The sequence below is a fragment of the Homo sapiens genome, chromosome 10, assembly GCF_000001405.40.
Source record: "Homo sapiens chromosome 10, GRCh38.p14 Primary Assembly".
Lineage (NCBI taxonomy): Eukaryota > Metazoa > Chordata > Mammalia > Primates > Hominidae > Homo > Homo sapiens.
In genome coordinates this window covers 49,482,872-49,498,086 of record NC_000010.11, presented here as the reverse complement: position 1 = coordinate 49,498,086, position 15,215 = coordinate 49,482,872, and the positions used below count along the sequence as shown (strand labels likewise).

The 15,215-nt window shown below is 39.1% G+C and overlaps 1 protein-coding gene across 2 annotated transcripts in view; it reads left to right on the top strand.

Annotated features, from left to right (window-relative positions):
* Window positions 1-15,215, top strand: part of ERCC6 (ERCC excision repair 6, chromatin remodeling factor) — a 104,658-nt gene that overhangs the window by 41,452 nt on the left and 47,991 nt on the right. For both annotated transcript variants that reach the window (NM_001346440.2, NM_000124.4), the window contains exons 8-9: window positions 4,835-4,970; window positions 14,571-14,741. In NM_001346440.2, the coding sequence (NP_001333369.1) occupies window positions 4,835-4,970; window positions 14,571-14,741 (307 nt within the window). The remainder of the gene's footprint in view (window positions 1-4,834; window positions 4,971-14,570; window positions 14,742-15,215) is intronic.

The following is a 15,215-nucleotide window of genomic DNA, read 5'->3' as shown; positions in this document are numbered from 1 at the left end:
CCCTTCATAATGGATACACCACCTTCTTTTCACTTTGCCATTCATATTATAATGATAGGCCCCTCAATCTTATAATGAAAAGGAAATAAATTGACTTTCAAACTCAGTTAATTTTTTAAAGTCTTGGATATCATTTGGTAATTCCTAATGTTATTGAATTTAATAAACTTTCAAGGATAAATATTTTACTTTGTAGTTCCTGGTAAGTTCTGGGTATGACTAGCAGATTTCCATCCTGCAGGTTGATATATTTGACCATGGAGCTATTGGCTTTCCCTAAATTTATTAGGTAATCAATGGTAATCAAAGATTAAAGGAATTGTAGTCTGTTTGGTAATTGATGCTAATCACTGTAGTACACTTAGCCATTACTCATGTTCATCTCACTGGTATTAAGAGTTAGGAAAGGGTGGTTCAGTTGACGATGTGACTGTTAATGGAGTTGATTGTCCTGCTGTGGTCCAGCAACAGTCTAGGTCTGCTCCTAGATCTCAACTCAGCGTGAAAATCTCCAATTTTTTCTACTAAGGGGGAAAATGGCAGAAATTAAAGGGCATCTTGATAATGCCAGATAGATGTTCAGCCAGAAGAATATACTAGCCTTAGATAACAAAATGTGAGTCATCAATGTAGCAGTTTGCAGAAGGCACATTATAAAAGAGAAAAAAATACTGTATAACCTGAAAAAACATATGCATGTGTTTATGCTTATTTGAATGTGAGTTTGTTGTAAAAATATTTTAGACAGCTTTTGATTGGTTGTTTCCTAATCCCTGCTAAGTGCATATTGATGATAACTCTTTTATTCCCCTTGGAGGATAGAAAGAAGCTGGTGCATTTAATCCTTTTAGAAAGGCTTGCTGCCATGGAAGGGGCCAGGCAGAGTCCCACTCTCCTTGGGGAGCTCAAGGGGCACCTGGACAGGCCCTGCCTTGGTGAGGAGCATGGCTTAGAAACTCTGTAGGAAGAGTGTCGGAGTCTCTTGTAGCCTCTGGCTTCTTGTAGTCTGGCCCTTTCCACCCAGTTGAAGGGCAGGGACAGTGACTGTAGCTGGAGGCAGGGAGGGTTTCAAAGTGGACATAGGTTATTTTGTTACGTTGGAGTATAAGGGTAGGCCTCATTTAAGTTAGGGCTTTACCAAAATTTCATTGTTTTTCTATAGAACTACAAATTATTTTTCAGTTGTGTAGTAGATGATTTTTAATATTTCAAGCATTGTATGATTTACTCTTCAGTTATTTGTAAAAATTGTATTTTGTTTGTTTGTTTGTTTGTTCTGAGACAGAGTCTCGCTCTTGTCGCCCAGGCTGGAGTGCAGTGGCACAATCTCAGCTCACTGCAACCTCCGCCTCCCGGGTTCAAGTGATTCTCCTGCCTCAGCCTCCCAAGTAGCTGGGATTACAGACACTCACCACCATACCCGGCTAATTTTTATAGTTTAGGTAGAGACGGGGTTTCACCATGTTGGCCAGGCTGGTCTCAAACTCCTGACTTCAGGTGATCCACCCGCCTCGGCCTCCCAAAGTGTTGGGATTATAGGTGTGAGCCACTGTACCCGGCCAAAAATTGTTTTAAGTTCAGGAATAATTTATTTCTGAGCTCTAGTAAGAAAACAAAAATCACTTATGATTCCCCAACTCTGAAATAATCTCTTTTAGCATGTTGATATATTTTCTTCCAATCTTAAAAAATGTTTTAATTTAATAAAGCCAGCATTCATTAATTGCTTGCTATTAGGTAGGCATTGAGATCATTTGAAGAAGAGATTATCTCTGCTCTCACAGAGTTTAGGGAGGATCTCATACAATTACAGTAAAGGTGATTTGTGTTTTGTCAGGGTTAATGTGGAGTGCACTAAGGAAGAGTCGTTAACTTGTTTACAGAGAAAGGGACAGGGAAGGCTTTGTCGAGGAAGCTAGAGATCTGAATGTTGAGTAGAAGGTAGCTGGAGGGGTAAGAGGGTAACCAGGACATGGTGAAGGTCGATTGGAGGAAGGGAAGACGGTTCAGGCTGGTGGGCTGCTAGCCACAGGAGCAAGTGGTAGGATAATGGCAGTGAGAGGTAAGGCAGGAGAGATGAGCAGAGGTCAGTCTTCGTGGCCTCGTAGGCCACGTCCAGGTGTTTAATCTCTGTCGCAAGAGCAGTGGGCAGTCATTAGAGGCTTTGAAGTGAGAGGATGAGGAATTCAAATTTTACTGTTTGAAATAATCATCCTCGGAGATGCAGTAACCCAGATGAGAGAGGAGAGTGGCTGGACCTGGCATAGCAACAGTGTAGACGGAGAGACATGGCGACTGAAAGGATTCAGGAGGTAAAAATGATGTGAACTCAGTGTAGGTTGCTCGTGGTGGAGAGCAAGCAGGTCTGCTCAAGGATGAGGCCTAGGTTTCTGATTTGGGCACCTGGACAGTGGGACAAAATTCTTTCCATTGGTTTGGAAGCACGGGGACAGGGGACAGCCAGGTAGGGGAGGATGGCGTGTGGTGCTTTGGGGATATCGGCAGTGAGATTTCTAGTGTGTGGTGGTTTGGAGTTCAGAAGAGTGATCTGGGCTGGAGACTTAGATTTGGCATTACCAGCATCTAGAATTGAAATTGTGGGAATTAGTGAGATAGAAGGGGTAGTGTATACAGTGGAGTAATGTATGTGCATTTTGCTTCACACAGTCAACATCTTTGTGGGGCAGGAAAAGGGAGTGGAGGAGAGGAATGACAGTGTGCAGAGTGCAGTGACTCTGCTCCAGGTGTGTGAGAGGCAGGCGTGTGGCCCTGTGATGCCCTCAGTCAATCCCAGTTTTTAGTTGCCTCTTGTAGCATGAGCTGAGTGTTGTTGAAGAGGTTGCCACGGTTAGTTTTGACTTCTGCTTAATTTTCTTCTTATGCACTGACTGGCACCCAACTCCCAGCAAGACTGAAGGTTAATGGGCTACAGTAATGGGAGTGCCGCTTGTGGAGATACAAGCTCAAGAGCTTAGCTAAAGGGATTGGTCTCAAACAAGAAAAGGGACACTGTCCCTTTGTCCCAGAAGGGCAGGAGGAGTGCAGATGCAGACAGGGAATACAGTGTAGGACGTATCAGGATATTTGACTGCACCTAAGTGAAACCTGGCCTCAAATTGGGTTAAACATTCACAAATGTATGGTACACCTAGAAACCTACAGAGGGGGAGGCTGTGGACACAGCATGATCAGCAGCTCAATGATGTCTTCAGGGACCCAGATACTTTAATTTTTGCCTAAGGCCAGGTGTCCTTGTAATCATTAGATCTCCTTATCACTGTAACCCAGTGACCATTGGTCTGTACATGTAGCCAGAAAGACCAGGAGAGAAAAGTCTCTCCCAACCCAGAATGTAATTTTTCCTTACAAAGTTGGTCAGTCTTGCCAGGCCAGCTTCATGGACTAGTGAGAGTTTCAGGGGAGTACCATGCACTGACAGGTTATAGATGAGCCAGGATTCCTGCTTCTGAGCCAGGCAGTGGTCAGAGTCCCATAAACTGTGTGTCTGCAGTAAGGAAGAAGGAGGGCACCTGCAGAGATCTGATTCTTCAGGAAAAAGGGAGAGGGGAATGCATGTTGAGACAATGGCCACAACCAGTTTTTCTACGTATACCTATGTCTAAGGAAATTGGGGTGATTCCATAAATAATTTTTAAAAATTATGGTGAACATTTTTCTAGTTTATTAACTTCTTCAAAATGATTTTAATAGTTATATGATATTCCATCTTATTTAACAGAATCTTATAGTATTTTCTATATGGTCCTGTTCTAAGCACTTTACAGATGTTAACTGATTTAATCTTCGTAATAACCCTATAAGATCAATACTGTTATTATTCCCATTTGAAAATGAAAAACTGACGTTCCCAGAGGTTAAATGGTGTGCCCGAGATCATACAATGTGTGCAGAGTTGGATTCAGATCCAGGCAGTGCCTCTAACCACTGGCCCATGCTTTGTTAAAGAAATGGGATAGTTCATTCAGCTTTCCTCTTCTCCATGGACATAGGTAGCACCCACTTTTTCTGCAGTATAAAGAATGCTCCAGTGTGTATCCCAGTGTGTAAATGTTTTTATTGGGATTGCTGGGTCAATGCATGGGTGCTGTTGAGGCTCTTGATTTTGCTGCCGAACTACCTGCCCACACAGCAGTGCCAGCTTGTACACTGTCGGTGTGGGCTTCCCAGGAGAGAACACTCGCTCGGATGCTCCTCCATGGTGCTTTGGTGGTGTAGAGGAGCAGGCAGGGTGGTGTAGTGAGGACAGGCTGCAGTAAGTGAAGACTGGCTGCTAGGCAGCCCTCTGTCCCCTGGTAGCCATGTCACCTGGGCCATGCCAGCCTTATGAGCCCCCATCAGTGGAGCATTTCTGGCCTACTTGCTTCCTAGGGCAGTGAGATTGAAATTCTGTGGCTTGAAAACTCTTGGTAGACTATAAAACTTCAGACAAATTTAAGATTCTATTATGTTCACTTAGGTTAAGATACACTGTATAAAAACTTCACTAATCTGTAGTAGAAGGGAAAAGAGTATTTTTGTTAAATAATATTTGATTATCTTTTATGTTACTATAGATGTTATATCTCTTAATATATTATTAAGTGTTTTCTCTTAACACCTACATCCACTAATTGATGAATGAGATTATGGAGATTTTACTTACTGGGTTTTAACATCAGTAACTTTTTCTTAAAGAAAATATCAATAAATTTCCATAGTTAGCATTGTTTTTTTGAACTAAGTTTTTTGTTTGTTGTTTTGGGGGATCTTTTGAGCAGTTGATGACTGTATATGCTCTTTCATGGTTGTTTTCTTCTTGGACGTTTGGATGCAGGTTTGAGGGGTTGGGTCCAACTGTAATTGTCTGTCCAACAACAGTGATGCATCAGTGGGTGAAGGAATTTCACACGTGGTGGCCTCCGTTCAGAGTGGCAATTCTACATGAAACCGGTTCCTATACCCACAAAAAGGTAACACAATATTTCAGTACCTTTTTGTTTTGTTTTAATGCCCTCCATTTTACATATTTGGTTTTTCTCTGATCCATGTGTTTCTCAAATGTATATTCCTGTGTTTTTTTTCCTGCATTTAAAGTTAATTTATTATTATTGACTTACTTTAGAGCTCTGTGTTTTCAGAACAGTTATGAATATAGGTCTTATTGTTCTAACAGTCTGTGGTGGTGTTGTGACAATGTCTGTTGTCCAGTAAAATACGAATCATCTCAGACAGGGCACAAGCCTGGCAGTGTGGGTTGGAGTCATAAGTCAGGTGGCTGCGTCCAGTAAGGAGAGACTTTGCGCATTAGTGGCTTCAAACAGTTTTAGGAAGGTGGATACAGAAGTAAAATAACAACTCTTAATTGGTAAATGCATTTGTTAGTATGCATTTAACCTTCCATCTTGAGAATTTCGCAAGTATTGTTGCTTTTTAGTTGTGTTTTGTTCCTTGAATCCTTGATCGTCATGTATTGACAGTTGTATTTCTTCACTTAGAGTTTGGTAATATCACAGTATCAAAAAAGAGCTTTATCTGTGCTCCTGTGGGTAGCATAGATACGTTGTATTCTTCCTTTTTTCTTCTCATCTGTCTAACCATCCAGACTGTGAGCTCTGTTGAGTAGGGACTGTGTCTGATTCATTTTTATATCCCGGGTGACCCATAAGCATTTGCTGAATAAATAATAATCACGCAGTTTCACTGTGAATTTGCAGGTTACATTATTGGGGAGAAGCAGCAGTCTCTTAGGAGCTAGTTCTTTCTTTCCTGAGTCTTCTGAGCTCTTGAGTTCGTTCTCGGGGCCCAGGAAAGCAGTGCCGGCTGCAAGGGCTATGGAGTGTTTGCCTCACGGAGTCAGATGCACGGGGACCACGAAACTCCAGGATTCCTGTTGTGTTTGTGTTCATGGAAAAGCAAACTTTTGATAGAAGTGACTCAGAAAAATCTATGGTTTGGTAGCACAAATAAGGCGAGATGGAATTTTGCTTACACTGTTATTGTTAAAACCAACTGACTTTGCCCAGAATTTTAAGTGATAAATGGAAAATAAACTGGATAAGATAATTAATAAATTAGGGTAAATGCTGTGAGTTATAAAAAGTGATTTTTAGCAGTATGAAGATAATAGCAGTATAGATTGTTGTCTAGTCAAACCTTAAATTGTTTGTCAAACCTTAAACTATCCTGTCACTACCCTTGTAAAACATTTGTGGTTCCTTTTTCATTTCTGTTATCTGTTAACATCTCTTAGTGTTTTGTGCTGCAAAATCCTGTGGCAGGACTCATTAGCTGATGTTTGTCTTATAAAGGCAATTTAAAAAAATGTTATTCCTTTCATTTTCTTTTGGGGTAGTAAAGTGTGTGTATTGGACACCTTCACCTGGATCATGGCTTGCCTCCAGTTCCTTTGTCACCATAGTTTGAAGAACTGCCTTCGTGTAAACCACATACATGGACTCATTATGGAAATAGAATTGACAGTAAATTTGGTGAAATTTGTCTCCTTGACTTTGGAGGGCAAACTTCTAAGAAGAGATATTTCACTTTTGGTTGCAGTGGCTTTACCTTCTGAGGTTGTTTTACCTTCACAGACACTTGCATACATATGGTTGTTAATAATTTTTTCAGTGTTTTACAGTTTACCAAGGACTCTAACTTGAAGATTCTTAATTAACTTTTGAGGAAAAACAGCATTACAGTTTCCTTGTGTTTTTACTCAAACTCTTAACTCTTCCTACTGTTCCTTTTCCATTATAAAGTATCTTAGATCACTAAAGATGTAAACTGTTAGGCAAAAGATCAAAAATATGTACTTTTATATGTATCAAACTATATTCTTAACTTAGAAGCCCTATATTTATTACTTTTCATTAATGTTAATATTGGCTTATTTGTGGTGACGACACATTGGAAATGTATTAATAGTTCCTTTCCATAGGCCTTACTATTGACATTTCTAAGATCATAACTTTGGTTTCTGGATTCAACTACTGAAGGGGTATTTGCTTCCTCTGCACCTTCGATCTTCTGTGTATGTGCAGATCTCTGTCACCACACATGCATACCTGCTGGCTTACACGTGTGTTAAATTACAATAGAGTCTATGTTTCTTATTCATATTTCAAAAATTCTGTTTGTGGTGATTCGTCCTCTAACTCAGCGTCTAATGCCTGACTTCCTTATCAGCTGTGATTTCTTTTTACAGTGGATGAGCTTTCTGTGCCCACCAGCTGTTCTGTCTGAATTTAATAATGGTACTCTGACATTGGGACATTCAATACTGGATGTATTAGGAACAGGGAAGAGAAGAGAATTTCTCTTTAGAAATATTTAAAAGAATAATAATGCCAGAATTGTTTTGTTTATCGTTCAAGTAGATTATCTTTATTTTCCAAATGCTTTGTTGTAGCTGGTATGACATAAATTTTGAAAATTGTCCGGGCGTGGTGGCTCATGCCTGTAATCCCAGCACTTTGGGAGGCCGAGGCGGGTGGATCACGAGGTCAGGGGTTTGAGACCAGCCTGGCCAATGTGGTGAAACCCTGTCTGTACTAAAAATACAAAAATTAGCTGGTTGTGGTGGCACACGCCTATAGTCCTAGCTACTCGGGAGGCTGAGGCAGGAGAATCTCTTGAACCCTAGAGGCGGAGGTTGCAGTGAGCCTGGACTGTGCCACTGCACTCTAGCCTGGGCGACAGAGCGAGACTCTGTCTCAAAAAAAAAAAAAAAGGAAAATTTTTCATTTGGAAAAATATCAAATGGTCAATTTCTCAATTAAGCACATCTATCATTCTTCTTCCCCAAGTTGCCCTTTAGCTTCCCACCTCTCTCACCCTTTGATCCTATGTTATCTTTGTTAATAGTCTCTGATTGGCAGCATAATTTAGAATTGTCAAATGTACACCCAGCAGCCATGCAAAAAAATATACAACTGATAGTTTCAACCAAATGATGAAATCTGATAAAGAAATTTTTAGGCTTCTGAATCTCTTTTAATGGTCACTTGAAATCGCATTTAATAAAAGTTCAAGATTTCCTTTTTCTGATTATATTTCGTGATCCTTTTTTCTAATATAGAGCAACTTTCATGTGAGTTGATTAATATTTATTTGTTAAAACAACAATAAACACTGCATTTCAGGTGTTTGATGTTGCTAGGGCTCAAAAAAAATAAAGGATGTTTTTAACTAACCTTAAAAAGCCAACTCTTTCCTTGGGGAAAGAAAATGTAGTAAATGAAGAGATAAAGAAGGCAGTCTTGTGATACCTATCCCATAACTCACAGTAGGTGGTGACATCTTTAGCACTGTCTTGTAAAGTTTATTTAATGATTAAGGATTTTTTTTTCAATTTATTGGAAGATACATAATGATAAATTGCTTATGTTCTGAAACAGTTGTCTCTCTCCTACCTTTTTTTGCTACGTAGTCTCTAGTAGTTCTGTAACATCTTAGGTAATTTAAAGAGTTTTGTTTCGTTTTGATCAATTCATGACATGTAGATGCATAAGAGTGGGAAAAGCAACAAGAGCATGCAGTTTTAAGTGCATTGGTTTTGTGCTTACAAGACCAGGGTTCGAATCTTGGATCTGCTGTTTTATAACTTTGCAAGCTTGGGCGAATCACTTGCCTTCCTGAGCCTGATTTGATCACTTATAAAATGGGTAAATTTTGGTAAACTTGTTAGGACTTTTTGGGTTAATATGTATGTATGAAGAGCTTAGTGTGGTCCCTAATAGGTAACATTTACTCAGGTAATTCTTGCTGTTGTTAGAAACAAAGAATATTTAGGCCTCTTCACCTCAGTAGTTGGGAAAAGAAAAGATGCTGAATGAGGCATTGCTGATTGACTCAGTATGTAGTCTAGAGAGAAGGTACACATCTACTTTATCAAAAATGTTCATGGTCATTCAAGATCATCTAGACCTTTTATTCTCATGTTCAGATACATTTGGCCCCAGATGGAAACAGTGAAGTGCAGGGCGTGGTTAAAAAAGCAAATAATGGCCTGGCACGGTGGCTCACGCCTATAATCCCAGCACTTTGGGAGGCTGAGGCCGGCGGATCATGAGGTCAGAAGATCGAGACCATCCTGGCCACATGGTGAAACCCCGTCTCTACTAAAAATACAAAAAATTAGCCAGGCGTGGTGGCAGGCACCTTGTAGTCCCAGCTACTCGGGAGGCTGAGGCAGGAGAATGGCGTGAACCTGGGAGGCGGAACTTGCAGTGAGCTGAGATCACGCCACTGCACTCCAGTCTGGGCGACAGAGCGAGACTCTGTCTCAAAAAGAAAAAAAGCAAATAACACAAAAACTTGGCCATCCGATGAAACTCCCATCAACATGTTCTTTAAAAGGGCCTGTTTTCTGAAACACTAGAGCAAAAAGACGTGGCTTTAAAAAAAGCTAGAAGGGAGTAAAAAACTTTAAAAAAAAAAAAAAAAGAAAGAGGCCACATTATTCCTTAAGCATCTGAAATATTTCAGACACATTCTGAGTACACAAATTATAATAGAATGCAAAGTGGTATCATTCCTATTAACTTTAGAGTCAGTGTATACACCTTATAGAAGACATGATAGATGCTGGGCTTGTTCTGCGAGGTATGTTGTAAAATTGTGTTGCTGGAGCCCTTTTTTTTCTTATTGTCAGCACAAATCCTTGTTTATTAAAGATTTAGCTTGAAGGAAATTTTAATTAATTACAGGTGCAGTAAATCCTGCCTAGGAAGCGGCTGTACTGTGTTTCCTGTGAATGGCCTTCATGTGCCTGTGCTTCGCTCCTCTCCCCGCCGCCTGACAGTGTGATTTATGGCTGTTGTTTTCCACCAGTCCACTGTTTGCCCTCTAGGAGGGATTGGTCTCTTGAGCCTCCATAATAACAGCAGCCCTTTCACAGACATCTTCTAATGACAACAGCACTGCATTCAGTAAGTCAGGCTAATTGCAGATGTACCCTATTAATTGCAAAAACTAGGAGAGGTTACATATTTTACAAGCTTTTAATTTGAAACCGCCCGAGATGATTTGTCTTAAGTGTTTGGATAGAGCCGTCCATAATATTCAACAATTCACCATTATTGAAACTCCAGTCTAGGCAGCTATAGAATTCTGCGATTGAATCAGGTGATAACAAATAGTCTTAGATGGGGTTTTGCCCAGTGGCTAAGTGGAGATTATATTTTCAACTGGGACATTTTGAACAATTTCTTGTTCTTTTTACATAAGCATCTTTTTAATTCTTGTTAATCATTAATACATCTTCCTGAACACAGGAAGTTTTGTATTTCTATAGCTAACATTTCTATACCTATAATAATATTTAGAATTTTCCAGATAAATTTCAATCCTTAAGCAAGCATAAGAAACTAAACATCATTCCAGTGGTATACATTTGGGAAGCTTGGTGTCTCATTTGGTAACTGTGGGAAAGCTCCAGCTACACTAGGTGATGTCCAGAATTCATTTCGGCTTTGGCTTCTAAAGGTCGCAGGTCTGACCAGGTGAGGTGCTAAAGGTGGATGGTTTTTCTCTGGGCAGACTGCTTTCTTCACTGGCACCAGCAGCTAAGTGGGGCTGGTGGCGAGGGAGTCCTGAGGGAACCCGTACGTGTGTTTTTAAGGCCGTTGTGCACCCCAAGGCGTTTATTGCTGTATTCTTGTGAGGTCAAAAGTCAGGAAATGGGTCTTTCAGATGTGGCCTTCAATATGGTATTGTGCAGGTGTCGAATTTTGTGAATGGGAAGATGGAAGATGAGTAGTCATAATAGTAATAAAAGTATGGCACACACCTGTCAAATTATTAATAGGTCCAGGCATTGTGGTTATTCTCTGCAGCAATTGTATTAACTCTTTGAATGTTACATGAATTACAACATATGAGAAGACAATGTCTCTTTATTTTGTTCCTTCAGATTTTCTTAGCCTTTCTTGTACCCTTTTATACTCTGTTGAATTAAAACACATTTTAATCCTAGTTCTTTAAGAAGATATAAAATTACCATTTTTTGAAGATGTTGAATTTTATAAAATTTGTATTAGATGATTGTGATTACATGAATTATATTAGGCTTCCTGATAGCTATTCTTGTATTCCTGTGATAAGCCTTTAGTAGGTTAATATATTACTAGGTTTTATCTGTAAAGTAGTGGATCTCTAGTTTAGAGGCGTGTATGCACACTCATAAGTGTGCTGTGTCAGTTTTGAAAACAGGGTTTGCTAGCCTTGTAACAATGATTGGAATCCATTCTTTTTCTATATTTTGGAACAATTTCAGTAATAGGATCTAGTCCTACTTTACTCATAAAACCCCTTTGGGTCTGGTAGACTTTTGGTGAGAAGAGTATAACATCTTTTTCACATTGTTCAGTATTGGTTTGTTCTGTTGGTCTGATTTTTCTTGGGTCCATTTTTGCAACGAACTTTTTAGCTATCATATCTGTCAAAATGTTCAGATTTTGTAGCATGTATATTGGTTAACACTTTTGTATTCTCTACATCTGTAATTGTGTTCCTTTGACATTTCTGATGCTGTACATCTCAGTCTGTTATTTTGGCTCACTTTTCAGAGGTTTGTTTGGTTTAGTCTTTCCAAAGAGTTATTATTATTTTGCTTTATCAATTCTACCAGTTTTTTTAATACCCACTAATTTTTATCTTACTAATTCTCTCATTTTCCTTTTTTGGGAGGCTAAGTTGACTGCTCTCTTTGATTTCAGCTTTTCTTAATAGAGTGTTTGTAAAGAATGAATATTCTTTGTATAGTCTAAAGTGCTGCTGATCACTGTTGAAAGGAGGTCTGATGGTGATACTCAAATCCTTTGCATCCTCTTTGTAAATGTTTTATTTTCTTTGATCTGACTTTCTCTCAGAGAGGCTGTGGTCAGCTCTCTGGGTAGGCTGTGGATGTGTCATTTTGACAGCTCTAAGGGCCCTGCTTTTGTGTTTATTGCTGTGCGTTTTGGTAGGTAAAGGTTCATGGTTCTTTTTTCTTATTGTGGCATCCCCATTAAAATATAAAATATCCCTCTTTCTGTTCACTCCTTTTTGTTTCATATTTACATTGCTAAGCCTGCCCTTTTTTGGTTGGCATTTCTTTGATATATCTTTGATAATTCCCATATTACAACTTTCAGTGCCAGTCTGGTTTGGGTCTCTTTTAAACAGAAGGCTAGGTTTTTGCCTTACCCAGTGGAATGTCTCCCTGTTAATAACTCACTGTCTTGTGGTGGGTTACTAGGTTTAGTTTGAAACCTGGTATTTTGTTTTCTGTTTTATATTGTCCTGATTTTTGCTATTTTCTATTATTTTCCTCTGTAATGGTTTGATAGTTCTACATTCTATTTTCTAGTTTTTAGGTGGAAGTAGCAACTGTTACTCAGTAATCAGCATAAAGTTTTGGCAAATGTATTTTAACATATTTTTCTCACATAGTTAAGAATTAAATATCTATTGCCTGTGTACCTTTCTACCATTGGACAGGGTGGAATTTTTAGTTCACTTTTATTTTCCCTTAATCTCAATCCAGCTTTTATGAAACTGAACAGGAATTACAGTAACATTTAAAAATATATACCTTTTAATATTTTAGATCCCCTCTTAACAGTTTCATTCATATTTAAGTGTTTAATATTTAGGCTTTGTTGTTATGCTTTAATGATTTATTTTAAATGGTATGTATATCACATACAATCTTCTTTTTAAACTTTTTCTTTTATATTTTAGTAGGAGGTAGTGTAGCCTAGTGTCAATAGTACTAGCTTTGGATTTGGCTGCCTTTCTCCGTTCGAATTCTGACTCCACCACTTAGCAGCTGCGTGACCTGGTACATTAGTTACCATTTCCAAGCCCCAGTTCCCTCATCTGTAAAATGGGGTTAGTGATGGCCCCTCTGTCCTTCCTTGGGGAGCTGCTGTGAGCATGGTCTGTGGTGAGAATGTGGTGCAGGAGCATTGCTGTCTTTCCTTCTTCAGGGCATGGCATTTGTGCATGCCTTCCTCTTTGTCCACGACTGCACCACTCCACTGTCTGGGTGCAGTGCACTGTAGTTAGCCAATCTCTTGGTGACTGATCTTCCAAGTCCTTGCCTATCTGAAGCTGGAATTTGTTTATTTTATTCATCAAGCATGACTGCTAGTTTGGATTGATGTAGAATCCATGGTCACCACTTTTCCTTCTTAGAATTACGTAAAGATTTTCCTCTTTGCCTTCGGACATTTTTAGTGTTGCAGAAAAGATGTCTGATGCAGGTAGTCTTTTTCCTCTGAAGGGAATATTTTCTTTTTCTGTTTTGTTCTGACTAGAATCTATGACATTTTCTCCTTATTTTTAAAAACATTTTTCTCTTTTGAGTCAGGATCTTGCGCCGTTGTCTAGCCTGGAATGCAGTGGTGAGATTATAGCTCACTGTAGACTCTAACTCCTGAGCTCAAGGGATCTTCTTGCCTGAGCCTGCTAAGTAGCTGGCACTGCAGCTGTGCACCACCATGCAGTGCTAATTTTTTTATTTTTTGTAGAGACAGGGTCTTGCTTTGTTGTTCAGGCTAGTCTTGAACTCCTGGCCTCAAGCGATTCTCCTCCCTCAGCCTCCCAAAGTGCTGAGATTACAGACATAAGCCACTTTGCCTGGCTGTTTTTATTTATTTTTGGAATTCAGACATCTAGTAAGATATGTCTACAGATGCGTCTTTTTCTTAGTGTCTCTGCCTGACACTCTGGGAGATGTTTTGTTCTGTAGATTCAAATCTCGGCTCCATTTATGGTGATTGTTTTCTAACATTTTCTTTTTTTTTTTTTCTTTTTTTTTTTTTGAGGCAGAGTCTGACTGTCACCCAGGCTGGAGTGTAGTGGTGCCATCACTGCTCACTGTAGCCTTGACCTCCTGGGCTCAAGGGATCCTCCCACCTCAGCCTCCTGAGTAGATGGGACTACAGGTGCTTGGCACCACATCCAGCTAACTTTTAAAATTTTTTTTTAGAGATAGGCTTTCACCATGTTGCGTAGGCTGGTCTCGAACTCCTGGGCTCAAGCAATCCACCCACCTCAGCCTCCCAAAGTGCTGGGATTACAGTTGTGAGCCACTGTACCCGGCTTTTTTTCTATCATTTTAAAATCATTGCTTTTATATCCTTTTCACTCTGTCCTGGAATTCTTGTTATACATTGTTAGAGATCCTAGATTTGTCTGCCTTGTCTCTTTGGATTTTCTCTTATTTTCTTGCTTTTGTTTTAAATTAATATATTTTCCATCCACATTGTTGTTTTGACAAGAATGGACACAAAGGATGTTTTGAAAAAATAAAAATAATAATTTAATATATGTATATATTTATAAATATATGTATTATAACTTTGTCATCTTTTTGAGAGTCTCCTTCCCCTAATAACGGCTGTATTAGTCAGCGTTTACTACTTGCCAGGTTAACAAGTACACTTCCAGTGCTGATAATGTCTGTGATTGTGCATGTTATGTTTGTATTTGTGCATTTTTATAAAGTACTTTAGATTGTGTCATGATTGAAAGGGTGTCACTTCTTATTTAAAACTGACTTTACCATTTTATTGTGGTCTCAGGAGAAACTAATTCGAGATGTTGCTCATTGTCATGGAATTTTGATCACATCTTACTCCTACATTCGATTGATGCAGGATGACATTAGCAGGTATGACTGGCACTATGTGATCTTGGACGAAGGACACAAAATTCGAAATCCAAATGCTGCTGTCACCCTTGCTTGCAAACAGGTATGACCTCTTTTAACAAGGGAGATTTCCAAGTGGAGAAGAATAATTAATTCAGAATAAACTATCTGCTTTTAGTAACACATTTATTGAATCTTTCCTTGTGCCAACTGCACAAGAAATTTAAAATGTGCATTTTCCTTAATGCAGAAAACTCTTTATTTTTGCCCTTAATCATGTCTTTAATTCTGATTGTTCATGTTATTTAATGTCTCTTGTAGGGGCCAGTTGTTAGAATGTAACCAAACCCAACTCTAATCTATAGTATTCAGCTTCAACAATAAGAAAAAATTCTTTCTCATTTTTTCATCTAAATGTAATTAAGGATTTGTAATTGCATAAAATGTGTATGTTTTGGAGAGTACCAAAATGATGCAAGAATGATGAGTAAATGTGTAAATAATTTGCAGAGGAGCGTTTTAGGGTAGGAATGGCGATTGCTAAAAGGTAAATTTAATAAAAAGGTGCTTCCTTTCC